Genomic DNA, 27,943 nt, shown 5'->3' on the forward strand with positions numbered 1-27,943 from the left:
TCAGCTGATGCCATTTCCCACTTGCAAAGAGAGGGCATCTCGGCCACATAGAGAGTGGTTCTAGAATTTAAAGATACAGTTACATATAACTATTTATTTATTTTCATTTTTTTTAGAGACAAGGTCTCACTCTGTCACCCAGACTGAGATGCAGTGGTACAATCACGGCTTACTGCAGCCTCAAACTCCTGGGCTCAAGCAATCCTCCTGCCTCAGCCTCCCGAGTAACTGGGACTCCAGGCACGTGCCACCACGCCAAGCTAATTTTTACTTTTTTAAGTTGAGAGAAGGTCTCGTTATGTTTCCCAGGCTGGTCTTGAACTCCTAGGCTTAGGCTATCCTCCCACCTCGGTCTCCCAAAGTGCTGGTATTACAGGTGTGAGCCGCCATGCCCAGCCTACATATAAATATTTAGATAGACAGATGAGAGACACAGAGAGAGAGAGAGAGCACACAATAGATATAACTCAACACGATCCCTAAACACAAACCCAAGGAACAGCCATCTGTTTTAATTCTGGAGGAAAACTTAGTGAGAGACAGTATATAACTGCCAAAAGTTAGAAGCAATTAAGATGTCCTTTAACAGGTGAACGGGTAAGTAAGTTGTGGTACATCCAGACAATGGAATATTATTCAGGGCTAAAAAGAAATGAGTTATTGAGCCATAAAAAGACATGCAGGAACCTTAAATCTATATTGCTAAGAGAAAGGAGTCAATCTGAAAAGGTTACATGATTCTAATTATAATACATGACATTCTGGAAAAGACAAAACTTTGGGGACAATAAGATGATCGGGGTTGCAGGGAGAAAGGGCTGAATAAGTAGAGAGCAGAGGATGTTTTTTCTTGTTTTATTTTATTTCAATAGTTTTTGAGGGTACAGGTGGTTTTTGGTTACATGGCGAGTTCTTCAGTGGCAATTTCTGAGATTTTAGTCCACCCAACACCCAAACGGTGTGCACTGTACCCAATAGGTGGTCTTTTATCCCTCACCCTCCTCTCCCTGCCCTGAGTCCCCAAGGTCCATTATATCATTCTGTATGGCTTTGCATCCTCATAGCTTAGCTCCCACTTATAAGTGAGAACATGTGGTGTTTGATTTTCTATTCCTGTGTTACTTCACTTAGGATAATGGTCTCCAGCTCCATCTAAGTTGCTACAAAAGACATTCTTTTTCCTCTATATGGCTAAGTAGTATTCCATGGTGTATCAAAGACTTAAATCTAAGACCTGAAACTATAAAAGCTCTGGAAGATAACATCAGAAAAACTCTTCTGGACACTGGTGTAGGCAAATAATTCATGACTAGGATTTTTAGGGCAATGAAACTACTTTGTATGATGCTATAATGGGGGATACACATCCTTATACATTTGTCCAAACCCATAGAATGTATAACTCTGAGAGTGAATCCAAATGTAAACTACAGGCTTTAGTTGATAATAATGTCCCAATGTTGATTCATCCATTGTAATAAATGTACCACGTTAATGCGTGGGGAAACTGCGTGGGGGGGTTTGGGATGGGGAGTGGGAGCTCTGCATTTGCTGCTCAAGTTTTTCATAAACCTAAAACTGCTCAAAAATGGTCTATTCATTAAATACAAATATATACATCATATAAATAGGAATTAAAAAATATATATCTTTTAAAAACCACTGCACAGAAACAATCACTATTTAGTGGTGAAACTTCTAGTCTTGTTTCCAGGCAAATATATTCCTATTTAATTAAGTGAGAGCATCCTCAACAAGGCATGCACATTTTTAAGAGACTCAGTAAAAATACACAAATTTTCCTGCACAGAGGTATGGATTTCCACCACCCACATAAAGCACCAGTGCCCTTCTTCCTGCACCCTGACCAACACTGGAACCCCAGCCAGGTTCATATGCAACCACTTGGCTTCTTATGTTTGTTTTATTTCCCACAGCAGGTGAGAAGGTGCTCAGGGATGCCCCTCTGCTGCCCACCATACCTCGCTGTGCTGGGAAGGAGGAGATGGCGTTTGCCTTGGCTGCATGTTTGAGCCCCAGGACTGGCTGTCTCTGCTGCAGAGAATGCAAGGAGTGGAGGCTGAAAGGCCCCTGAGGCAGGATGAGATCTGGCTTTTTGTCAGGATGAGATTTGTCAATAAAGCTGTTGCAGTCTTGTCAGGATCAAGTCTCATTCCCCTATGCCTGCCCCAAACTCTGGTTCCCTTGAGATAATGCCAAAGTCAATTCTACAGAGCCTCACACTCGATTCCAGCCCAAGATCAAGACAGCCAGAGGTTAGGAGAGAGGCTGGGAGTCAGACTGACTCTGCTGGAGTTGCAGATCTAACTGTATATGACTATGGATAAATAATCTTCCCCCAAGTTGTACGGTTAATAAATATAAGAAATCTGAAATACTGTAGGCTCCACTGCTGGCATTTAAATGCTTCCAACGTTTAGTAGCTGTGTTACCTGGAGCAAGTTACTTAACCTCTCTGAGGCTTAGTTTCCTCAATTATAAAATGGGCATAATAATGCTCACCTCAAAGGATTCTGGTAGGAATTAAAGGAGATAATTCATGTAGAGTGCTTAGCACATCAGAAGCCCTCCATAAAGAGCAGCTGTTGTGAATCTTCAAGGACCATCGAGTCCACCCCTCCTCCCTGCCAAACTGGCTTGTGTTTGGGGTGGCAAAGGCTCAGAAAGGAAATACCTTGCGCATAGTCACAAAGTGACTTGCTACTCATGTCTGGAAGCTCAGTTTTTGAAGCCTCAATCCAGTGCCTTTTTTGTTACCCAAACAAGAGCCCCTCTTGCAGGACACAAAGTGCAGAAACCACGACCTCCTTTCACTTCCTTGGCTCTCGTCTGCCTCTTGAGGCACTAATGAACCACCAGGCATGTGGAGTCAGCCTCTCAGACAGTAGCTCTCTAACAGGGACATTATTTAGGACTTGAGTCAGTTCAGCATGAAATTTAATCACTGGATCAATATTGTGACACAGCTTGTCAGAGAGCCGGGGACTGGTCAGGAATACCTGGTTGCCAAGAATGCTTTCATTTGGTTGGCTTCTCCTTTGGATCTTAAAGAGCCAGTCCTGAAGTGTGGGGAGCAAAGAGGCTTCCATTCCCTGAGTAGGGCACCTTGTCTCCAACTAACAGCAAAACCCCTAATCCCTCATTTGCACTCATCTCCCTCCAGTGACGCCTGGCTCTCCATATTCTCTCACGATTACTTGTGTAATCCCACCTCTGCACCTTTGCCCACTAAGGTCCCCCCACCTTGAGGGTCATCCCTTGCTAGATCTTTCTAACTTGTCCCTCTGCTTCCACTCTGAGCCCCTCCTTCCTTAATTCGTAGAATGACACCAGTAGTGGATGATGGATGCATTGACCAAATCTTCCTTCAAGCATGAATAACTCATTTCCCAAGCTGCCCTTTCCAAGGTCACATTCTCTTTCCAAGACAGGTTGTATAGAGACTGGTCATTGCAGAAGCAGAAAGGCCCAGCCTCCTTGCTCAATTTGGGGTAACTCTGAAGGGCCATCCCAGGCTCCAAGCTCCCCGTGGCATTGGCTGAGCCCTTCCTTGCAATGCATCACAGCCTGACTTCCTTCTGCTCAATGCTGCTTCTTTCACTTACCTTCTACAGGTGTGGATCCCAAGAGCACCTCCCAATAAGCTTCCCACAAAATGATCTCTATCTCAGAGTCTGCTTCTCAGGAACTCAACAGCAGAGTGATTCTTTTAGGCACAGATCCAAGTGTCTTACTTCTCCATTTAAAATCATCTGATGGCTTCCTACTGCACTTGGAATAAAATTCAGACTGCTCATGAGGATTGTAGGGCTCCAGGTCAAGGCTGCCTAATAGCAATACACATAGGTAGGTAGCACATTTAGAAAGTAAAAAAAAAAAATCAGATGAAATTAACTTCAATAATGTTTTATTTAATATATAAATAATAATTATATATATAAATATATATTTTGTTTAACCCCAAAATCAAACATATTATCATTTTAAAGTGTGTTCAATATAAAATATGAATATTTTACATTCTTTATTTTTCATTCTAGGTCTCTGCAATCTGGTGCATATTTACAATTACAGCACGTCTCAATTGGGACTCCATGCATTTTTTTTTTTTTTGAGACAGTGTCTCATTCTGTCACCCAAGCTAGAGTGCAGTGGTGTGATCTCAGCTCACTGCAACCTCTGCCTCCCGGATTCAAGCAATTCTCCTGCCTCAGCCTCCCGAGTAGCTGGGATTACAGGTGCGCGCCACCACACCCGGCTAATTTTGTATTTTTAGTAGAAATGGGGTTTCTCCATGTTTGTCAGGCTGCTCTCCAACTCCTGACCTCAGGTGATCTGCCCACCTCGGCCTCCCAAAGTGCTGGGATTACAGGCGTGAGCCACCATGCCCAGCTGGGACTCGATGCATTTTAAGTGCTCGATGGCCACACATGATTAATGGCTACTGAAGGGAACAGGGAAGCTCTCAATGACCTGGTGCCTGCCTTCTTCTCACCCTCATCTCTACTACAGTCACTGCTGCTCTCTGTGTTTGAGACTTCCTGCTTTTCTTTCAGTTCCTTGAATACCCCAATCCCATTGATGCCTCGGGGACTTTGCACCTGCTATTTCCTCCACCTGAAATACTATGTTCCCAGCACTTTGCACAGCTGGCTCCTTCGTGTACTCAAGTCTCCACTCAAATGCAACCTCTTCCGAGAGGCTGTTCCTGAAAACTCCATCTAAAGAAGTCCCCCTCCCCCAACATCATTCATCAATGACTCATGCCAAGATAATGTCCACATAGCATGTATCACCTTCTGAAATGATCTTATTTACTATTTTTTCATGTATTTTATTGCCTGTCTTCCTCTACCAAAAAGTGAGCCCCAGAGATTTGGGTCTGTTTATTCATTCTGCATCCCTTTTTGGGCCAAGGACAGAGTTTGTCATTAGCACTATCTCTTATCTCTTAATACTTATTAATGCACAAAAAACTAAGAAAGCATAAATTAAAAATAAAATACACATCTACAATATTTGCATATATGGGTTTGCTGGGGGAGAAACTTCTTTTTATAATCACAGATAATCTAGTGTCTGAAATACCAGGCATGTGCAGTCAGCTAACACAAGATTCAGTATTTACTGGGTATTCATCACAGAGTTTACTCATTCTTATTTCCTCAAAATATCACCTATAACCCAATGACTCCCACATATTTATCTCTAGCCACTGACTCTCACCTCCAGTTTCCAATTATCTACCGGATATATCAGTGTTGCCATCTTCTCTTCTAGTTATCTCTATTGTAGCACTTATCCAGGGCATAATAACTCCATACTCTCCTTTGCCTTTTACTACCAACTGCTGGATGGCTGATTTACCTCTATCTCCGTAGTATTTATGTTCTTGAGTCATACATTTGATGTTTTATTAATTAAATGTAATACATTACCATGCTAAAAAAACAAACTTCAGAGATAAAATTCCATAACTTTCTCCTGTGTGCTTCATTATAATCTTTGCTTGATATATAATTATATATGACAGACTACTGCCATTAGGAGATTAACAGTTTGTGTACATACACATATATGTCCCATACACGTGTACGCATGTGCATGCACACGGATCCAACAGAAACCCCTGCTCTCATGAAGCTTACCCTCTAATGGAGGAGAAGGACAATAAGTCATATACACACACACACACACACACACACCCAGGCACACATACATATACACAGATGCTCCTTGATTTACAATAAATCCATCATAAGTTGAAAATATTGTAAGTCAAAAACGCATAAATAGGTTGGGCACGGTGGCTCACACCTGTAATCCCAGCACTTTGGGAGGCCAAGGCTGGCAGATCACCTGAGGTCAGGAATTCGAGACCAGCCTGGCCAACATGGTGAAACCCCATCTCTACTAAAAATACAAAAATTAGCCAGGCGTGGTGACGGGTGCCTGTAATCCCAGCTACTTGGGGGGCTGAGGCAGGAGAATCGCTTGACCCCGGGAGGCGGAGGTTGCAGTGAGTTGAGATCGCGCCACTGCACTGCAGCCTGGGCAACAAAAGGGAGACTCCATCTCAAAACAAACAAAAACAAAAACAAAAAAAACCCCGCATAAATACACCTAACTTACTGAACATCCTAGCTTAGCCTAGCCTAAATTTAACGTGCTCAGAACATTTACTTAGCCTATAGTGGGGCAAAATCATCTAACACAAAGTCTATATTATAATAAAGGGTTGAATATCTGATGTATTTTATTGACTACTAATTATTACATCAAAATTATATACATGTATAAACATGTATACATATATAAACATGTATACCTATGTATATGTATATATGTTGGTAATATGTACTATGGAGAAAAACCAGGGGAAGGAAGTCAGAGAGTATCAGGGGTTGGAGTTGCCTTTTTAAATGGTTGGGGTCAGAGAAGGCCTGGATGAGAAGGTGGCATTTGAATAAAGACTTGAAGGAGGTGAGGAAATAATGGCTAACTGAGAAAGAGTGCTTCAGGAAGAAGGTTCAACAGTGCAAAAGCCCTGAGGTAGGTAGTTGCCTGACATGTTTGAAGAAGGCAAACAAGACAGTGTGGCTGGAGGGAATGAGCAAGGAGGTGAGTGGGAGGGGATGAGATTAGAACTGGGTGGTGGGTGGGGTCATGTGGGGCTTGATAAGCAGTTCCAAAGACATTGGCTTTTACTCCAAGAGAACACCAGAGGCCACTGGGGAGTTCTGAGGAGAGAATCACATTTTAGCAGCAGTATTGTTTTCAAAATACACTGATTAGACTGCAAGTTTGTCCAACCCGCAGCCCGTGGGCTACATGCAGCCCAGGACAGCTTTGAATGCAGCCCAACACAAATTCATAAACTTCCTTAAAACATTATGAGATTTTCTTTGGATTTCTTTTTCTTTCTTTTTTTTTTTTTTTTGCTCATCAGCTAGCGTTAGTATATTTTATAATGTGTGGCCCAAGACAATTCCTCTTCTTCCAATGTGGCTCAGGGAAGCCAAAAGTTTGGGCATTGCTGGATTAGAGCAAGGGTACAATTGACAGATTATTACAATAATCCACGTGAGAGACTAGGTCCAAGACCACAATAAAAACCACCAGTTTTCCAACAAATTCCATTCTCTCTTCCATAGCCGTAAGTGAACCGTTGCTGCTCAACAGGGGACTACATTTCCCAGCCTCCCCTGGGGCAAGGTCGAATCATGTGACTAAGTTCTAACCAATGAAATATAAACAAAAGAGACGTGTGCAACACTGCCTCACTTGCTTGAAAAAAATGGTGGGTCGTGTTCTTTTGCCCCCTGCTCGTTTATACAAAGGCACAGGAATGTGCCTGGATGCAGCTGAATCATGCCGATGAGAACAACTGAAGGAAGCTGCGTCCCTGTGTGAAGGTGTGGAGCAAAGTCTAATATACTCCTAGGCTGTTCACCTCAGGACCATCTCATGAATGAGAAATAAATATCTGTCTTCTGTAATCCACTGTATTTTGGCATTCTTTGTTACAGCAGCTTAACCTTTACCTCAACTAATACACAGAATTTTACGGAAGGTTTAGCAACATCAGAAGTGAATTACAGCACAGTGTAGAATAGGAAACAACCTACAATGTAATACTCATCGCCTCTATCCTTAAAGCTCCTTAACCAAACCCTGCAGGGAATTTTTCAGACAGTCTTTTACTTCTCTGATACATGTATTTCTCCAACTTCCCAGGGCCTGGGGACATCCGCAAAATTTTCTTTCATTTTATTAAGCAAATGAATATTTTGTGAATCTCTATCACAGACAAACTCCAGGAACTTCCTTTGCATTACTCAAAAGATTTGGTGGTGCACCTAACCCAGGTGAACATCTTGACACGAATAATTATTGAAAGTAATGGCAAAAACCTCAATTACATTTGTGCCACCTAATAGCAGAAACTTTGTTATCAACAGTTTTCCTCTCATTTGCTTTACAGTAAGCTTTTCAGCACTTCCTCCTCCCCTAAAAATACTCTCAAGAAGTAGAAGTGGAGAAGGAGGGGAAACATATTTTCCTCTAACCTGACCAAATCTTAGCGTTTGCTCCTGGGGTTTTAGATGATGCTTTCTCCCATTTACTCAGACCCAGATATTTATATGACAGGCACCCCTATATATGCATCCACATGGTTCCTTCTTATAGACACACACTCAGGCACACGCAGACACACAGACAGCTGAGTCATGCTGGAAGGTCCCTAGTTGTCCATTCTGTTCTTTTCTGCCTTCAAACCCCAGCCTTCAACAACACTTCCCAAGACCGCGGCTCTGTGTCCTTTCCACTGGTTGATTCTTTGGGTTTCTCACCAAAATTCACAGTGGGAACGTTATGCTGGCTCATTTCCTCCCTGCTTTTATGGTCTGTCCTATTCATTAGTAACACTATGAAGCGGCTTGTAAAATGCATCAGAAACAAGGTCTCCTCTGGAGGACCTAAGAAGCCAAGCCCAGGTGTGGCACAGTCAGGCTTTGCCCTCATGACAGAAGTGGTCATATTTCTCCCCTGAACAAGATGAGACATCTAATAGGGCTACTTACTCATGGGATAGCTGTGGCCGGCTGAGTGTTCACACCACCAAGGAAGTGCATGGGGACAAAGCTTCATGGGATCTTGGAGAATGTCCTCCAAGGCCCTGCTCAGGTGATCTGATCAGAATTAGCCCCTTCTGCTGCCTCCCTGGGGTGTGGAGGGAGTCAGGGAGAATCAGTGAGGAATTAATTATATGTGGTTTCTTGTGTCCCTGTATGGATAGATGTGTATGCATATTGTGTGTTGACTCGATGAATTGTTAAGTGCATACAAGTCTGGATTGTCTATATATGTTAATGTCAGGGCGTTGATCTCGTTCTCTGTGGGCATGTGTTCATATTTCATTGTTCCCTGCTTATTTCTCTAGCCCATCTCACACCATTCTGTCTTCTAAACATAGGCTCTTCTTAAATTCCTTACTTCTCTCCAATCACTCTGTCCCTCCCTCTGACACTGTCTTTGCATTTTTCTTCGACTCCGTTAGCTCCGTTCCTTTATCTCACCTGCCTCTCCCTCCTTCCTCCTCCCTCCTCCCCCTCCTTCTCCTTGTCATCTTCCTTCTTCTTCTCATTCTCCTCCTCCTTCTTCCTCCTTCTTTCTTCTTCTTCCTCCTCTCTATCCCTTTCCCTCCTCTCCATCCTCCTCATCTTCCTCCTTGTACTCCTTCTTCTTCCTCTTCCTCCCCCTTCTTCCTCTCCCCTCCCTGCCCTGTCACTTCCACACACTATTTTCTTTCCTCCTTCCACACTCACCTCACCTGACGAAGCCCCCCTTCACCACTCAGCATGGCCATCACTTCTTCTGGCCTGAGCCCCTAGATGGTAACTGTTCCTGCTGGGTAAGCACCCACCAGTGCCTCCCTTCCCCGTTTGGAACTCCCACCAACTGTACTGCCACTCCCTAGTTCACTGTGTCTTCCCTGGCCACAGTGGCCTTGCATTGTGTCATCTTAGTTAAATTGAAAGCATTTCCCCAAATTCCCTTTCCTGCAGTGTTCTGTGTTAAAGTGGGCCAACCAACTTGGGTGAGCCTTGGAAAGTGGGTGTGAAGCAGCAGTTGTGTTTATGCTCCAGGGGTCAATGTGAGCTGAGGCTCTGCTGCATCTCACACTCATTGTCATGGATTTGATGGCTCATCTTGTTGGGAGATTGCAGACAGCAGGCAGGGCTGGGGCTCCTCCACCTCCTGCCGATCTCCTCTTTTACTTTTTCTAACGTCTGTGCCAGATTTGGGTGCAGCTCCATGGTCCTTCCAAAGCTCACGGCATCACTCAGATTAGAAGTCTGGAGGCACTGAGAGACTGACAGTTCCCAGGGAGGGACAAAGGCAGCTTCCAGTTTTCCTTGGTGTGTTCCAGCTCATCCTCATGGGTTCCATGTTGTTCTTGCTCTCTCCCATTTCATGTCCGTAATCACTTACCAAGGCACAGCCCTGCTGAATGTAGGTTCAGCATCCAATGCTTACATAAGCAGCACCACCAACCGGCACAGTCACGTAAGGCCCAGCCCTATCATAAACCCCTTATATCACTCATACTGGTTCTGCTTCTTTGACCTGATAAACAGCCTAAAACCTCCCAGAGGACAGGATTTCAACTCAACTCGCAAATTAACATGATTGTTCACTGTTGAATTCCCAGAATTGAGAATGCACCCACCACTTGGAAATAGCCCCATAAGAATGCCCTACACTCAACCACAACATTGATGTACTCGCCTAGTGATCTATGCGCATGTGTGCACACCTAGGCATTTCTATAGTTCTTATGAGATCAGCTGTCACAAGAACTGGCAGTGGATCTCATATTGGCAGCCCTGGATCAAATATGTCCTACTTATAGGTTACCCTTGGTCCAGAGGGCTTTTAAATTTTTGAATTAGTTGTAACATTTAGAAGTCAAATTTCACATACAAAATCCAGGTTTTAAACTTTTCTTTACAAAATTGGGCCAGGTGCGGTGGCTCACACCCGTAGTTCCAGCACTTTGGGAGGCTGAGGTGGGTGGATCACTTGAGTCCAGGAGTTTGAGAGAAACTTGGGCAATATGGTGAGACCCTGTCTCTACAAAAGATACAAAAATTAACTGGGTGGGGTGGCACACGCCTGTAGTATGAGCTACTCAGGGGGTGAGGTGGGAGAATAGCTTGAGACCGGCAGGTGGAGGTTGCAGTGAGTCATGATTGCACCACTGGACGCCAGCCTCAGTGACAGAGCAAGACTCTGTCTCAAAAAAAATCAATAGCTCAAGCAACATGGAGCTGACTTTCTCCATGGCATCAACTGTGTAAAGATGGAGAACTGATGTACCCTTTTCATGGGACTTGTGCCCTCTGCTTCCCACCCCACCCAGTCCCTTCATTTACATTCCTTTCTGTCCCCTCTAGAACTTTGAGTTTGAACTGTTCTACCTCTGGCTTCTTTGTCGTGGAAAAGAATAAACTACTTGTGCTAGCCCATATTTCTGTGTCTCTGTAACTTGCAGCAGAATATAATCCTAAGTGACAAAACCGGCATCATCATATTATACTATTAAGAGTCCAAAAAGAGGGATATACAGTATTTGATCGAAATGTCTTCCCTTGAGTTAGTTGCGCACATGTTCTGAATCCAAATTAAAATATGCAATGGTCTTTTTCCTTAAGTTTAAGCCATGCATTTCCACGTGTACAGTCTCCCCAGGGTAGGGAGATGGGAGTGGCTACTCTCCTTTGTTTAGCTTGTTCCCCAGCTCTCTAAAAGGCGTGAGACCTTTATTCTAGACTCTTCAGTTCCCCATCACCATCTTGGTGCTCTCTTGCTCAGCTCTCTCTCTCGCTCACTCAGTGTCCCTATCTTCTCCCTGTAGCAGATGACATTGGTCCCTCACTACACACCTGCACATTGTCTCTGGCACTGCTCACAAGTGCTTGCGACTCACCACATGCTGCCTTTACTGTAGCTTGGCTTCTGGATGGAGAAAATTCAATATGACTGAGCCCACCACTCAGCCATGCTGTTAGCATGACAAGCCAGGGGAGTCCCGGCCTCTTTCTCTGCCTCCAGTTATATTATTTGGTTAGTACAGCTTTATCATATGCCCAACATCATTTCTATATGCACATTTATATGCATCTTCATTTCTATATGCAAGTTTAATTCTGTAAACATATGCACTGGTGTTTCCTATAGCATATATATATATATATATATATATATATATATATATATATATATTCTGTCATTTTTTAATACATTGAGTATGTGTGCAATGCTGTGTGTGAATACATTTATAAGAGAATATCTGTATATTCAAGTGTTTTCTGTAGATTTTGATCTCATTTAATTTATATAAACATAGGTAGCGTTAGCTGCATTTATAATGAGAACATTCAGGCTTAGAGGGGAAAGTCCTTTGGCTACAGTGACACAGCTTTAAGTCATTTGTTGCAGATGCTCTTGGTGCCACCCCTTTCTCACCCTCACCCCCTTAGCAAGTGCACCTGTCACCTAGCCACTGCAAATGGAGGCTGCTAACAGGTCACACCTGCACGCCTTGCTCACAGTCACCCACAAGTTCACATCCCTTCTCAGGAGACACCCTGGGCTAATGTCTCACTGATGTGGAGGCATAAGAGCCCACCAGTTCTTACCTTCCAGGAGAAGGTGAGAGAAATATGTTCAGGCAGAAGGAGGAGTTAGACTAATGGGATTTCAGGAGCAATCTAGTCTGAATCCTTGTCTTTGGCTCTGTTGTTTGGGAACCCGATCTAGACATCATTGCATCAGAATTGGAGCATGGGTTCTATCTAACTACAAAGCCGAGGGCGGTTCCTCCACACCACACTGCGTCCTCCCTGGCTGTTTGTGTTACAATTCATGCTCATCCAGGATGATTTTCCTATACCTTTCTCCAGAGGTAGCAATGAATAGGAATTGTTTGTTTGTCTAAACGCAGAGTGGAAGCTAACTGTTTTAGACTGTGATGCTGCATAATGGACGTTGCGCCTGTTACATTACATTTTATGGTTTTATAGCAATTACGTTGCATTTTATGGTGTCATAACATATTACATTTTATGGCTTAATATCAGCTTTAATACAAGACACCACGGCCCAGAATTTTAACAAGGGAAAGCTTCTCCTGGTGAGATGGTAATGGGCTTTCTGCATGACCACATGCCTGCCAGCAGGAGGCCAGGGAAGATGAATCAGGGGACAGATTTCCCTCAAGCCTCCATAGCCACCCCACCCTGTGCCCCCTCAGTCAAGCCTGGCTTTCTTGCTAGGGGTCCTTGTACAAACTAGTTGAACTGATGCTGTAGGCACACAGCCCCTCGTCTCTCGTTCACCCCTATTTTCTCGTCCACGTAACAGACAGGATAATCTTCTTAAAGCACAAAGCTACTCATGCCATGACTCTGCTTGAAACCTGTGTATAATTTCCCATTGCTATTGGAGCCATGTCCAAACTAAGCCTATGGCTCAAGGAAGGACTTTCATGTTCTTATCCTCAGCCTTGGCTCATTTATCACCCACGATGTACCCTATGCTAAAGCCACAGTTCTCAAATGTGCCGTGTCCTTTTGCTCCTCTGTGCCTTTGCATATGCTGTTCCTTCTGCCTGGAACCCCTTCCTGGATCTTTTTTTTCTATGCATTCATTCAGTAAATATTTATTGAGCACCTACAATGCTTGGCATTGTTCTGACAACTGGGAATCCAGCGGTAAATGAAACACACAAACCCTCTACTCTCATGGAGCTCACCTTCTAGTGGAAAGAGGTGACATGGTATTAGTCTTTCAAAACTCAACTCATGTCACCTCCTCCAGGAAGCCTGCCCTGATGGGCCCAGGTAGTGAGATATGCATTCTATTCCATGCCTGTGTCATAACACTTATCACAGCAACTGTAGTCATCCATTCACTTCTATGTCTTCCCCAAGGGCAGGGACAATGCCTTACCCATTTTTACTTTTGTATTGCTATCATCAAGCAAGGTCCCCGGTTCAGCAAGTTGATCAAATAAACGAATGAATAATGCAAGAGGAAAAAATGGTTAGTGTGCTTTAGGGGTGCCAGTGAGATTCCACTGCCACCAGGAAACATTTCCAGTACAAATGTAGCAAATCCTGCCACTAGAAATTCACCCCTTTGGGTTAAGCATTGTCTGTTGCCAGCAGCTCCTTTGAATTCCAATGGCCCTGGGAGTAAGATGTTTGCATGAATAATTCCATCAGAGTTCTTAGGAGCTGGCTGGAGAGAACAGGACTGAAGCAAGCTGCTCACCTGCACTGGGAGATAAAAAGAGGAGACAAAAAAGGAGGCTTTGCCCAGGGCTCTGGCCTGAGTTCTGGAAATTTGTTGCAGATGTTGACAAACACATTGGCCAAAAAGCCTTGGAAATCTCAGCTGTTAGAGGTATGCTGTAGGAGAATGAAAAGAGCTCGGCATCAGGTTCTAGCCCTGGCTCTGCCACTGACCTGCTGTGTAATCTCTCCGCAAAACCCTCAGTCTCTCTTGGCCTCAGTTTCATGAGCTATAAAACAATGAGACTGAACTAGATATAATCAGATACCTTCTCAGGAGTCAGCAGAGTTCAGTGCTTCAAATCCCAGTGCTGCAGTTATCAGCAGTGACCTTGGACAATCTACTTAACCCTATGTGCCTCAGTTTTCTCATCTATAAAATAAGGAGAGGTATAAAATGTTATACATTCTTCAAAGGGTTGGTTTAAGGACTTAATAAGTTAATACAAATAAAGAATTAGCACAGAATCCGGGGTACTATAAGCACTCGACAAAGGTTAGTGATTATTTAACAAACCAAAGGGTGAACATTAGAATCTCTGCAAACCACAGAAGGCCAAAGCTGGAAAAGACTCTAATAAAAATAACAGTAGACCTGTATCGGGGCTCACCATGCACCAGACACTGTGCCAAGTGCTTTATAAGTAGCATCTCCTCACAGTAATCCTATGATGTTAGTGTTGTTTTCCCTGATTTACCAATAAAGACCAGAGCAGGTGAGTAATGTCCCCAAGTTCACAGAGGTGGTAAATGGCATAGCCAGGGCTTAAACCAGGCTCTACCTGATGCCAAAGATTTTTATCTAATATGGGAATTTTCAGCCATTCTAGCCATTCTTTCTTTAATTTTTTTTTTTTTTAACAGGATCTTGGGTCTTGCTCTGTCACCAGGCTGGAGTACAGTAGTGCAGTCATAGCTCACTGCAGTCTCAACCTCCTGGGCTCAAGTGATCCTCCCACCTCAGCATCCTGAGTAGCTGACACTACAGGCGTGTGCCACCACACCTGTCTAATTTAAAAAAAAAAATGTTTTTGTAGAGATGAGGTCTCGTCTTGCTATGTCACCCAGGCTGGTCTCAAACTGCTGGTCTCAAACCCCTGGTCTCAAGCCATCCTCCTGCCTTGGCCTCCCAAAGTGCTGAGATTACAGGCATGAACCCCTGTACCCAGCTAAATATTTTTTTGATCCCACGTCTGTCTCCTCTCCCTTGGTGACTTCAATTACACATACATTATTAATAGACTGCTTGAATTTGTCCCACATCTCATTGATGCTCTGTTCATTTAAAAAATATGTTTTCTTTGTGTGTTACACTTTGGATAGTTTCTATTACTAAGTCTTTGAATTTACTCATTTTTTCTTTGGAATATCTAATCTGCTGTTAATACACTTCTGTGTAGTTTTCATCTCACACATTGTAGTCTTCATCTCTAGAAGTTCAATTGGGTATTTTTTATGTTTTCTATAGTTCTACAGAACATTTTTTTAAACCTATGGAATACGGTTAGAATAACTGTTTTAATGTCCTTGTCAGTTACTTCTAACATCTGTGTCTGTTCTAGGCTGGTTTCAATGGGTTGATTTTACTCCTCCTTAGGAGTCATGTTTTCCTGCTTCTTCTCATGCTTGATAATCTTTGATTTAATGCTAACCAGGAGCTGGTCACATGACCTAATTCTGGCTAATGAAACACGGACACAGGACAGTAACAGTTCTAGTCCCCTAGCCATTGATTGGCTTAGGAGTGAACACGTCACCCAACTCTGCCGGGAGCTTTTTGGGAAAGGCTTCCTCAGTCTTAGGAAAGAGACCAGTTCCTCTGGATGTGGCCATTTCCTGACGAGACAATAGGGACTGGTGCATTTACTGAGCACTTGCTGTGTGCCTGACCCTGTGCTAAATGCATTAAGTTGTGTGATTCTCAACAGCAAGCTTTTGTAGTACATAGTATCATGATGTCCATTTTACAGATAAGGAAACTGAGGTTCAGCATGGTGATTACCCTTTCCCAAGGTCACATAGGTAGCCAAGGGCAGAGGCAGAATGGGAAGCCAGACCTTTCTGACTCCAGAACCTGTGACCTTAAAACCCTCCTCTATACTTCCTCTGAAAAAGAAAAACATCCTAACCCAGATGAGCCCCCTCATCCCACTGATCAATATTCATGTTGCTCAGAACCAAGTAATTGGGGCTGCCAAAGGGTGCCGAGAAGTCCCCCTAATGAACTTGTTCAGCTACTCTTCTGAAACAGCATACCCTGCTGGGCCCAGGGGCCTCTTCTGTCAATATTGACGTCTGTCTGAGACACTGGGAACCTGCCACGGATGGAGGAGCAGATGCTGCTAAGATTTAAAAGAGAAAGGAAGAGAAGAAACACAAATCCCCTCAACGAAGCTACTACTTAGAACCGCAGGCCCAGCAAACCCCTGTACATCTGGAGACACTGCAGTAGAAGCAGCTAGATCAGAGGCCAGCAGACCTACAAGGTGCTTGGCTGGGCTCCTGAACCCAGGGTCTGCTCAGCAGCGTCCTGGAGAGCTTGCTAAGCTGGGCAAGTCTGCTCTGGCAAGGGGACGATGCCTCCTTGCCAGGAGTGCTCCTTGGGGAGCTGAGATTCTAGATTTCTCAGCCTGCTCCCAGGTCCTGCCCAGCCCACAGCCCCCTAGAGGACTAGAGTCAAGCTCCAGGAAGGCATGTTTCTGGAGAGTGATAAAGAGGTTGGGACAACAAAACTGTCCTTTTTGAGAAGGGCAATGCTATGTAAGGAGTCCTGGCTGTGGAGTCAGACAGTTCTGGATTCAAATCCATAATAATAAATTCGTAATAATCCATAATAAGGGGGTTATCCTCTCTAGCAAATGGGGATTTCTGCACTCAACAAATGTTCATATGCCTGGAGATTATGACAATATAGAGTCATAGGGATGCAAATAAAATGCCAAACATAGAGCCTGACACATCAAATGTCCTCAAGAAGTACAGAAACTCCTGATGCATATGCAGGTGCCACCACCCCCATAGCTGCCCTGTCCATAAAGATGGTGACATGGCTGTGTAAAATGGGCTTCAGAGACAGAGTTTATTCTCTAGCCTACCTGCAAATGCTGTCATGCAATCTTGAGTAGTTAATCCATGTGATGGGTAATTTTGTGTGTCAACTTGACTGGTCCATGGGGTACCCAGACATTTGGCCTAATATTATTCTTAATGGACCTGTGAAGATTATTTCTGGATAAGATTAACATTTTACTTATTTATTTATTTTTATTTTATTTTTTGAGATGGACTCTTGCTCGGTCACTCAGGCTGGAGTGTAGTGTCGTGATCTCGGCTCACTGCAACCTCTGCCTCCTGGGTTCAAGCAAGTCCCATGCCTCAGCCTCCCGAGTAGCTGGGATTACAGGCATGTGCCACCATGCCCGGCTAATTTTTGTATTTTAGTAGAGACAGGGTTTCACCATGTTGCCCAGGCTAGTCTCAAACTCCTGAAATCAGGCAATCTGCCCACCTTGGCCTCCCAAAGTGCTAGGATTACAGGCGTGAGCCACTGCACCCTGCCTGAGGTTAACATTTTCATCGGTAGATTGAGTAGAGTACACTCTCTAATATGGGTAAGTCTCATCCAATCAATTGGACCAATCCAATCCAACCCAATCCAAAAATTGAGGACCTGAATAGAACAAAAAAGCTGAGTAAGAGGGAACGTCTCCTCCATGACTGCTTGAGCTGGGCTATCCATCTTTTCTGGCTTTGAACTTCAACTGAAACATAGGCTCTTCTTGCATCTCAAGCATGCTGGCTTCCAGACTGGAGCTTACTCCATCAGCCCTCCTGGTTCTCAGACATTTGGACTCAGACTGGAACTATGCTTCCGCTCTCTTGGGTCTCCAGCTTGCCAAGATCTTGGGACTTCTTCACCTCCATAATCATGGGAGCCACTTCTTTGTAATAAATTAATAAATCTTTTCTCTCAATTAGTTATGTTTCTGTGGAGCATTCTGACTAATACACTCCACTTTCCTAATTCTGTTTCCTCATCTGGAAACTGATGAGAATCTTTCTTACTTCACGGGTTGTTGTGAGGACAAGCAGTTACGGCATAAATTGCAATACAGCTTGCAATGTGCTATGAAATGGGTAAGAATGGGGGCTTGGGGCCCAAAGAAGCACGTGACTCAATCTTAAAGAATAGCTTCTTATAGGAGGAGAGCAGAAGGAGTGGTTGATGTCCAAAAGAGAGTATGGAAAGGGTGTTTCAGGAAGTGGGAAAAGCATATGCAAAGTCTTTGAGGCCAAATAGCGCGTGGCCTTATCAGAATGTTGAACGTAGCTCAGTATTTCCAGGGCCAAACCATGGGTCTCTTTCCTGTTACGTTAATGGTTTGGTCTTTATCTTGAAGGAAATGGAAAGCCACTGAAAAAATTTTAGGCACAGCAGTGACACGAATCTGGGGATTTTAAAGAATTTATTTTAACCTCTCTGAATCTCAGTCTCTTTATGACTAACATTGAAAAATATCTCCACCTGCTTCACTGAGTTTTTGTGAAGACCAGCTGAAGTTATGTACCTCAAAGTGCTTTGTAAGTCATTGCGTGCTTGGCAAACAAAAGGTAGGGTTATTAACCAATAAGTCAATATTATTATATCAACTTCAAGGCTTTCATCCCCCGAAGTTCCTCTAACCAAAACCACGAGTCAAATAAGATATGGGGTAAGAACTTATTTGGAAAACCCTAAAACTTTTGATGAGAGTTAGCGATTTGCTAGTTGCCTTTCCAGTATTTGTGTTAATTTGGGTCTTCCAAGAGGCAGATGCCCAAATGAGGTTACACATGCAAGAAGTTTATTAGGGGAAAATGCCTGTGAGGGAAAATGGGAAGGGAGCCAGGGGGAGAGGGGAGCTGGGACATTCACCACCCAATGCAGTTCTAATCCCAAGTGAGGGGTAGACAGCGAGAAGGAAGAGTGGGTAGAGGCATCTTGGACTGCAATGCAAGGTTGTTCAGCAAGGCCAGTAGGGAGTCCTTGAGCCAAAGTCACCTGTCAGGGGAGTCGTGTCTCTCCAGAATGGGACTGCCTTAGTATTCCTGTTGCACTCAGCCACCGGCTGGAAGCAGCCCCGGGGGGACGTGTGGCCGTTGCATAAATGCAATGATGGATTTCAGAGCACAGCAGCTGAAGCCCTAGATCCATCATGCTCCCTGCAGCAGAGATCTGAGAAGTGCATGTTCACAGTTGGGACAGTATCCAGTACCCTTCTTGATTTTTGTTTAGGAATCTGCTCCTTTCCTGCTCTCAGTCCTCATACCCAGGCCTGAGCCAATCAGAGCATCACAGTGCCCTAGGTGCAGCCATTGGTGCATTCACAGACACATAACCTAAGCTGATCCAATCAGAGGGAATTCAGAGTTTTAAGAGATGCATTGGGGAAAAGATGCTCCTATCTTTTCTCTGGATTTGAACTTGGAAGGATGAAATTCAGGAGTCGGCGGGGAGGGCAGCTCACGCCTGTAATCCCAGCACTTTGGGAGGCCGAGGCAGGCGGATCACTTGAGGTCAGGAGTTTGAAACCAGCCTGGCTAATATGGTGAACACCCCTGTACTAAAAATTTAAAAATTAGCCGGGCATGGTGGCGGGCACCTGTAGTCCCAGCTACTCCAGAGGCTGAGGCAAGAGAATCGCTTGAACCCGGGAAGCGGAGGTTGCAGTGAGTCGAGATCTGCCACTGCACTCCAGAGGGAGACTCCGTCTCAAAAAAAAAAAAAAAAAAAAAGAAAGAAAGAAAGAAAAGAAAAGAAAAGAAAAAGAAATTCAGGAGTCGAGGCAGCACCATTGATCACAGGAGGAGAGCTCCACAATTGGAGAAAGAGAAGTTGCACATCAACATATCATTTGAACTCTTTTTCCTCAGACATGCTTGAAGCCAGGATTACTCTCGTGACACTTTAACTTTGAAAAATCTGTGTATTCCAACTTTTCATTTAAAAAAAATTTAAGAGCTTTATTGAGGTATAATATGCAACAAACAGCACAGACTTAAAGTCTGCAACTTGATGTTTTGACATATGTATACACCAGTAAAACCATCTCTACAATCAAGATAAAGAACATATCCATCACCTTCTGAGTTTCCTCCTGCCTCTTTTACTCCTTCTCTCTCAACCCCTGCCTTGGGCAATCTGATTTCTGTCACTGTGGATGTTTTCATTTCTAGAATTTCATATCAATGGAATCATACAGTATATACCTTTTTTGTCTGACTTCTCTCATTCAGCATAATTATTTTGAGATGCATCCATGTTATGTGTATCAACAGTTCATTCATTTCTATTGTTAAGTAGTATTCCATCAGATGGATATATCAGTTTGTTTATCCATTCACCTGTTGATGGATATTTGGATTGTTTCCAGTTTGGGGCTATTACAAACAAGGCTGCTATAAGCATTGTGTGTAAGTCTTTACAGGAACACATGCTTTTATTTCTCCTTGGTATATACCTAGGAGCGGACAAGATGAATCTGATGGCAGATATAGTTTACATTTTTTTTTTTTTGAGACAGAATCTTGCTCTGTTGCCCAGGCTGGAGTGCAATGGCGCAATCTCGGCTCACTGAAACCTCTGCCTCTGAGGTTCAAGCTATTCTCCTGCCTCAGCCTCCCAAGTAGCTGGGATTACAGGTGCGTGCCACCATACCCGGCTAATTTATGTATTTTTAGTAGAGGCAGTGTTTCACCATGTTGGCCAGGCTGGTCTCAAACTCCTGACCTCAGGCGATCTGCCCGCCTTGGCCTCCCAAAGTGCTGGGATTACAGGCATGAACCACTGCACCCGGCCTAGTTTACTTTTTTAAAGAAATGTCAAACTGGTTTCCAAAATAGTTCTACAATATTACATTTCTACCAGCAGGATGTAAGAGTGTCATTTCTCCCAGCCGGGCGCAGTGGCTCCTGCCTGTAATCCCAGCACTTTGGGAGGCCAAGGCAGGCAGATTACATGAGCCCAGAAATTCAAGAGTGGCCTGGGAAACATGGTGAAACTTCATCTTTACTAAAAATTAAAAAAAAAGAAATTAGCCTGGTGCAGTGGTGCATGCCTCTAGTTCCAGCTACTCAGGAGGCTGAAGTGGGAGGATGGCTTGAGCCTGGGACGTTGAGGCTCCAGTGAGCTGTGATCATGCCATTGCACTCCAGCATGGGCAACAGAGTGAGGCTGTCTCAAAAAAAGAAAAAAGAGTTTCAGTTCTTCCACATCCTTGCCAACACTCAATATGGTAAGTCCTTTTAATTTTAGCCATTCTAAAATAGGTGTGTAGTGGTATCTCATTGTTGTTTTAGTTTGCATTTTCCGAATGACTAAGGAGAGCGAGCACATTTTGATGTGCTTATTTGTCATCTTTATAGCTTCTCTGATGAATTATCTGTTCAAATATTTTGCCCAGTTTTTAACTGGGTTATTTATTTACTTCTTATTGAGTTTTGAGAGCTCTTTACATATTCTAGATGCAGATCCTTTGTCAGATGTATGATTTGCAAATATTGTCTTCCAGCCCTTGGCTTGTCTTTTCATGTTCTTCACAATGTGTTTGAAGAGCAAAAAGTTTTAATTTTAATAAAGTTGAATTTGTCAATTTGTTCTTTTATAGATTGTACTTTTGGTGTCAGATCTAAGAAATGTTTGCCTATACCAAGATCACAAAAGTTTTCTTCTATATTTTTTTCTAGAATAGAGTTTCTCAACCTTGGTACTCTTGACACATTATTTTAGATAATTCTTTGCTGTGGGGGTCTTTATACACATTATAAAATGTTTGAGAGTGCCTCTGGCCTCTACCCACTAGACACCTATAGCATGCCCCCTCCACTTATGACAACCACAAATATCTCTAGACATTGCCACGTATTTCCTGGGTTGTGGGGTAGGGGGTGTCAAATTGCCCCCATTAAGAATTACTATTCTAGGAATTTTATAGTTTTAAGTTTTGCATTTAGATCTATGATCCATTTTGAGTTAAATTTGCATTTCATACAAGTTATGGATCCAAGTGCTGTTTTGTTTTTTGGGGTGGTGTTTTTGGCATCTAGATATCTAATTCTTCCAGCACCATTTGATGAGAGGACTTCCTTTTACCACTGAATTATCTTTACACCTTTGTCAAGACTCAATTTTTTATATATGCATTTGTGTATTTCTGGACTCTCTATTCTGTCCCATCGGTGATGAATATGTTGGTCTTTTTTTTTTTTTTTTTTTTTTTGCCAATGCAATACTATTTGGTTACTAAACTGTAAGAGTCTTGAACTTGATTCTTCTTTATCAAAGTTGTTGTGGCCATTGTAGATATTTTGCATTTCATATGAATTTTAGAATCAGTTTGACAATTTCTACCAAAAATAAAGCCAACTGGGATTTTGATTGGGATTGCATAGATCAATTTGGGGAGAACAGACATCTTATCAAAATTGAGGCTTCTCACCTATTAACATGATATATTTCTTCATTTATTTAAGTCTTTTTTAATTTTTTCTTTAAATGTTTTGTAGCTTTCAATGTATAGTTCTTTCACCTTTTTTGGTCAGATTTATCCCTAAGTATTGAATTTGTTGTAAAGGGTATTTTAAATTTCAATTTCCAATTGTTTGTTGCTAGTGTATAGAAATAAAATTGATTTTTGTATATTGATCTTGTGTCCTGCAAATTTGCTAAACTCATTAATTAGATATGGTAGTTTTATGTAGATTACATAGGATTTTCTACATAAATAATCATGCTGTCTTCAAATAAAGATAGTTTTACTTTCCAATCTGGATGCCTTTTGTTTCTTTGTCTTGCCTTATTTCACCAGTGAGGACCTCCAGCATATTGTTAAATAGAAGACGTGGTAGTATATCCTTGTCTTATTCTGATCTTAGGAGATAGTATCCAGTTTTAGCCATTAAGTATATTGTTAACTGTGGGAATCCCCTTTAAGATTTGTTTAGTGTTTAGTTAATTATTCCCCACCAATGAGTAAGACCCGTCTGTAGTCTATTCAATGCCCTGAGATCCATGAGGTTTTCCAGTCTGGCAAATGGGAACAGACACTGTTCTTGGTCCTGTGTAAATGCCAACACTGTTATTTCTAATCCTTTCTGATAATTCTTTCCCCAAACTTGGGTCATTTCCTCAAATGTGCAGGCTGATCCCTCCTGTCTTGAAAATCCAAGGATACTCTCTGGCCAATCTTTGGCTTTCTCCCTCTATGCAACTCTCTTCTCTCCACTATTCCAATCTGGTTCCTCCAGACACCTTGGCCTCCCCAAACTTTCACTTCTGTCTCCTTAATTTAGGGAGTCTCCTCGAATCCTCCTAGGCTGCAGCGTGGAAAGTCTCTCAAAGCAGTATGCTGGAGCAAACCCAGGGCTCACTTTGTTTCCTGTCTTTCAAGGTTAACTGTCCTCTGTTTCCTAAGATCCAAAGTTTAAAAACCATTGCATCATACATTGTATCTATTTTTTGGTTGTTTTAAGCAGGAGGAAAAAAAATCTCATTCCTGCTACTCCCTTCTCATGAGAAGCAGAAGTTTGTTCAATTGTTGAACTAACACATTCCCAGTTTGTGTTGGGATTCCCATTGTTGCTAGCAAAAACATTCCAATTATTATAGTCACATGACCTGTCTGGCCTGGGAAAGACTGAGCCAGAGTCTTATCCTGCTCTAGATAAAATGCCAGAGAATGGCCAGAAGTGATGGTAATTCTTTTTAATTATTCCAAAATAAGGGGTTTGGACAGAAAGTATTTGGGTGGTATTGAGAGGTGGTAAAGCCCACAGAATCTGGAATTACAAAAGGCTTGGGTTTGAATTCTAACCCAGTGACCTCCTAGTCATGTGTGACCTGGGAAAAAGTTACTTAAATTCCCTGATCTTCAGTTTCGTTATCTATGAGATGGGAATTAATTATAACCGTACCTTACTGACAACGAGATTGTTTGAGGAGTCACTAGAATGATACCTGTGAAGCTCAGTGCCTGGCAGGTAGTAAATTATATACTATTGTATGAAAAATGATAGCTGTTATTATCAGTAACATGCTATGCTATACAGATCCAACCCTTTTGACAATGATCTAACTTTGATTTTGCCTTGTCTGCATCTATAACCCTAATAAAGCTTAGATTCATTATCTATTTCAGTTGGATAGGCCTAATACCCTGTCCCCCAAAATTGTGTGAGCTGTGATGTCAGCGCCAAAATCAGTAAGAATCAACAGTGGCTTAATTTAGTTGATCAAAGCTGAGAACAAAGACTTGGGATCTGGTTTCCATGCAGATATTTGGGCCCTGCATTATTTAAATTATTTGATTGGACTGTTGTGCTGAAGATGTCTATCACTGGGACCGTCCAACCACACAGCATCCTAAAGGGAAATGCCCCACCTCCATGCCCTGGTTAAGATATGAGCCCAGTAACCCTTGACTCTGGCCCACTGCTGATTGGACCACACCTGATTAGATATGAGCCACCAGATCAGGTCTGATCCAGTCAATGACATAGGCCTTGGCCTGGTAAAGAAGAGAGGAGTCTCTCTCTTCTGGAAATTTGGACTATGTATAGTATATCCAGAGAACTAAATATACCCGGAGACCAAAATAGTCATACTTTGGCACTGAAGTAGCAAAGTCATGAGGTTGACTTCTGGCTGGAGAGGCTCTGATAGACCAGAAGCAGGCAGAGGTTTAGAGGCAGCAGAACCATGGGTAAGCAATGAAAGGGTTTGGATGTTTGTGCCCCCAAATCTCAGATTGAAAGGTAATCCCCAATGTTGGAGGTGTGGCCTGGTGCGGGGTGAGTGGATCATGGGGGTGGACTTTTAACACCATCCGCTTGGTGCCTTCTTTGCAATAGTGAGTGAGTTCTTGTGAGATCCGGTTGTTTAAAAGTGTGTGGCACCTCCCCTTGTTCTCTTGCTCCTGCTCTCACCACGTGATACATCAGCTCCCCCTTCACCTTCTGCCATGATTGTAAGCTTCCTGAGGTCATCCAAAAGCTGAGCAGATGCCAACCATGCTTCCTGTATGTACAGCCTGCAGAACTGTGAGCCAATTAAACCTCTTTTCTTTATAAGTTACTCAGATTCAGGCATTCCTTTATAGCAACACAAGAATGGCCTAACACACCCAGTAAGTAGAGAGAGTAGAATGAACCCACAGAGGAAATAAGCCAGGCTAGAGCCCAGCTAGTCCCCAAGCCTGCTTAATTCCCAACAGTTTCCATTTCATTTCTGGCTCCTGTTCACAGCTATCTCTTTTCAAAACAGCTTTTTCTGTTTTGAAAATAACAAGTAACACATTATCACTGGGAAAAAAAAATCAGAAGAACCCCAGAGAAGAATCTAAATGTAACACAAATTCTCATCTTCCCAGAATAGTGCATTTCCTTCCCGTCTTTTTTCCACACAATTGCAGACATTTTTTTTTCCAGAAAATTTAGATCATACTATTTATTAGACATTTTATTTGTTTACTGTAACTTAACAATGTATCATTTCCCACCACTTTAGGAGGCCAAGGTGGTAGGATCACTTGAAGTTGGGAGTTCAAGACCAGCCTGACCAACATGGTGAAACCTCGCCTCCACTGAAAATACAAAAATTAGCTGGGCATGGTGGCAGGCACCTGTAATCCTAGCTACTCGCTAAGACTGAGGCAGGAGAATCGCTTGAACCCAGGAGACGGAAGTTGCAGTGAGCCGAGATCATGCCACTGCACTCCAGCCTGGGCAACAGGGCGAGACTCCACCTCAAAAAAAAAAAAAATGTGTAATTAACTGTTCCCCATGTCAATAAATATTCTCTTCTAATATTCTTTTAAATGATTTTCTAGTATGCCATCCTAACGATATGTCATCACGAATTTATATAATTCCTTGTCATTGAACAATTAGGTTTTTCAAAGATTTTTTCTTTGCTTTTGTAAATAATGTTGCAATGAACACAGCTGCAGCTAAATCTTTGCACACATAAGTGATTATCCCCTTATCATAAATTATTAGAAGGCCAATTGTTGGGTCAATGGGCATGCACATCTCTTAAATCTCTTATACATATTGTTCAATTACGCTCCAGGAAAGCTGTAAAAAATTTATATTCCTACCAGTAGCATATGAATGCATCTGACCCAAGGAGTTTTTTTACTGATTCTGCCAGACGTTGGAGACCACATTTCTACTGTCTGCTATATGTCTGGTATACAGTAGGCACTCAATACCCGTTTGTTGACCCAAACTGAAGTGGCTAGGTGTCCTCCTTCTATCTCAAGGAGTGACTAGAGAGTTTTCTTTCTCTTGGGCTAAGTTGAGGGACCTGTGCTCCTTGCAGCCACCACAGCACCTAACACTTTTCCCTGCATGCTCTTCTTTGGGAAAATCATTTCTTTTTTCTTTCTTTTTTTTTTTTTTTGAGATGGAGTCTCACTCTGTTGCCCAGGCTGGAGTGCAGTGGCATGATCTCAGCTCACTGCAACCTCCGCCTCCTGGGTTCAAGCGATTCTCCTGCCTCAGCCTCCTGAGTAGCTGGTACTACAGGGGCGTGCCACCACTCACGGCTAATTTTTGTATTTTCAGTAGAGATGGGTTTTCACCATGTTGGCCAGGCTGGTCTCGAACTCCTGACCTCAAATGATCCATCTGCCTTGGCTTCCCAAAATGCTGGTATTACAGGCATGAGCCACCATGCCCAGCCTGGGGAAATCATTTCTAATTTCACCAGGGAATGCAGAACCCCTGGGCAGCAGATCCAAGCCAGAGATCCTCCCCTCTTTCAAACTGTGACCTCCCAAGAGTGGAGTCTGTTCTTTTCTCTCACTAAAACCAGTTACTGAGTAGAGAAAGACAGAAGAAAATGAGACAGATGGAGAGCTCATTAAAACAATCAATTATTTCAGTGCATTTGGACATGACAAAAGTACACCAGGGTGTGTGGATTTTTAATAAGGCCGGTGCCGAGAGAGCAGCCGCGGGACCGACGGGCAGAGAATGAGACATTGCTTTCTAGAAGGCACCTACTGTGATAATGTTACCTGCCATTTATGCTGCGGCAGAAAATAGACACAAAATCAGAGAACGTTAAATCTGAGATAATGGGTTTTTTAATTGTTTTCAAATTTTGGATGAGCATTTTAATTGAAGTGGTTTGGAGGTTAATATAACTTTTGTATTTGATTATCTGGCAAGAAGAGGGGGGAATAAAAGAAAAGTGGGGGAAATTGAGGTAGTCTTTTAAAAAAGCCTCTCGTAACACATAGCATGATAAATTCCATTTCTGTACAATCGTTTTCATTATATGTGTCAGAGGCAAAATGATTTCTGTACATAATTAGTGCCAAGATGAGAGAAATGCTGACACCCTGAGGTTCTAAGTTAACCCGCTGCAGGCTGAGAGGGAGAGAAATTTTTTACTCTTTCAATAAACTTTTATTAAGAGTTAGAAGGGATCTCATATTTTGGAGTTGCCCACACAATGCCAGGCACTTTTTATAATTCTTTTTCAATCTCTCAACAACTCTATGAGAATTTTCTTCTTATTCTTGTTTCAAAGATGAGATGACTACGGCTCAGAAAGTGTAAGTGACTTGCTCAAGGTCACACAGCTAGTTAGAAAAGGCTGAAGTTTTGACCCAAACCTAATTGATTCTGAGGTCAGTGTAGCAGAATGAAATCATACATACCTGGGTTCAAATCCCCACTCTTATAATTTAGGAGCTCTGTGAGGCTGGGTGCAGTGGCTCATGCCTGTAATCCTAGCACTTTCGGAGGCTGAGGACTAAGGAACGCTGGAGCCCAGGAGTTCAAGACCAGCCTGAGAAATGTAGGAAGACCCCGTCACTACAAAAAAAAAATTTTTTTAATTAGCCAGGCATAGTGGTGCATGCCTGTAGTCCCAGCTACTTGGGAGGCCAAGGAGGGAAGACTACATGAGCCCAGGAGATCTAGGCTCTGTTAGCCAAGATCGCGCCACTGCACTCCAGCCTGGGCAACAGAGCAAGATCCTGTCTTAAAGAAGAAAAAATGAGCTCTGTGAT

General features: G+C 42.9%; 1 long non-coding RNA gene across 2 annotated transcripts, besides 1 other annotated feature; it reads right to left on the reverse strand.

Annotated features, from left to right (window-relative positions):
* On the reverse strand, nt 1,289-27,704 carry LOC105370025 (uncharacterized). 2 transcript variants are annotated; one of them, XR_945437.2, is made up of 4 exons: nt 27,590-27,704; nt 14,153-14,256; nt 3,627-3,848; nt 1,289-3,080 (listed from the first exon to the last, which is right to left on the reverse strand). It is a non-coding gene; the product is annotated as an uncharacterized LOC105370025 (long non-coding RNA). The 2 variants fall into 2 exon arrangements; XR_945436.2 differs by having other exon boundaries at nt 1,289-3,848.
* Nucleotides 2,550-3,051: an enhancer, noted in NCBI's record as "NANOG hESC enhancer chr12:119663115-119663616 (GRCh37/hg19 assembly coordinates)". NCBI's record gives its function as "activates a minimal SCP1, AML or CMV promoter by ChIP-STARR-seq in naive H9 embryonic stem cells {active_cell/tissue: H9 hESC(naive)}" and the evidence as "EXISTENCE:reporter gene assay evidence [ECO:0000049][PMID:30033119]".
* Nucleotides 27,705-27,943: the final 239 nt, after the last annotated feature.

Source organism: Homo sapiens, chromosome 12 (assembly GCF_000001405.40).
Source record: "Homo sapiens chromosome 12, GRCh38.p14 Primary Assembly".
In the NCBI taxonomy this organism is placed as follows: Eukaryota; Metazoa; Chordata; class Mammalia; order Primates; family Hominidae; genus Homo; species Homo sapiens.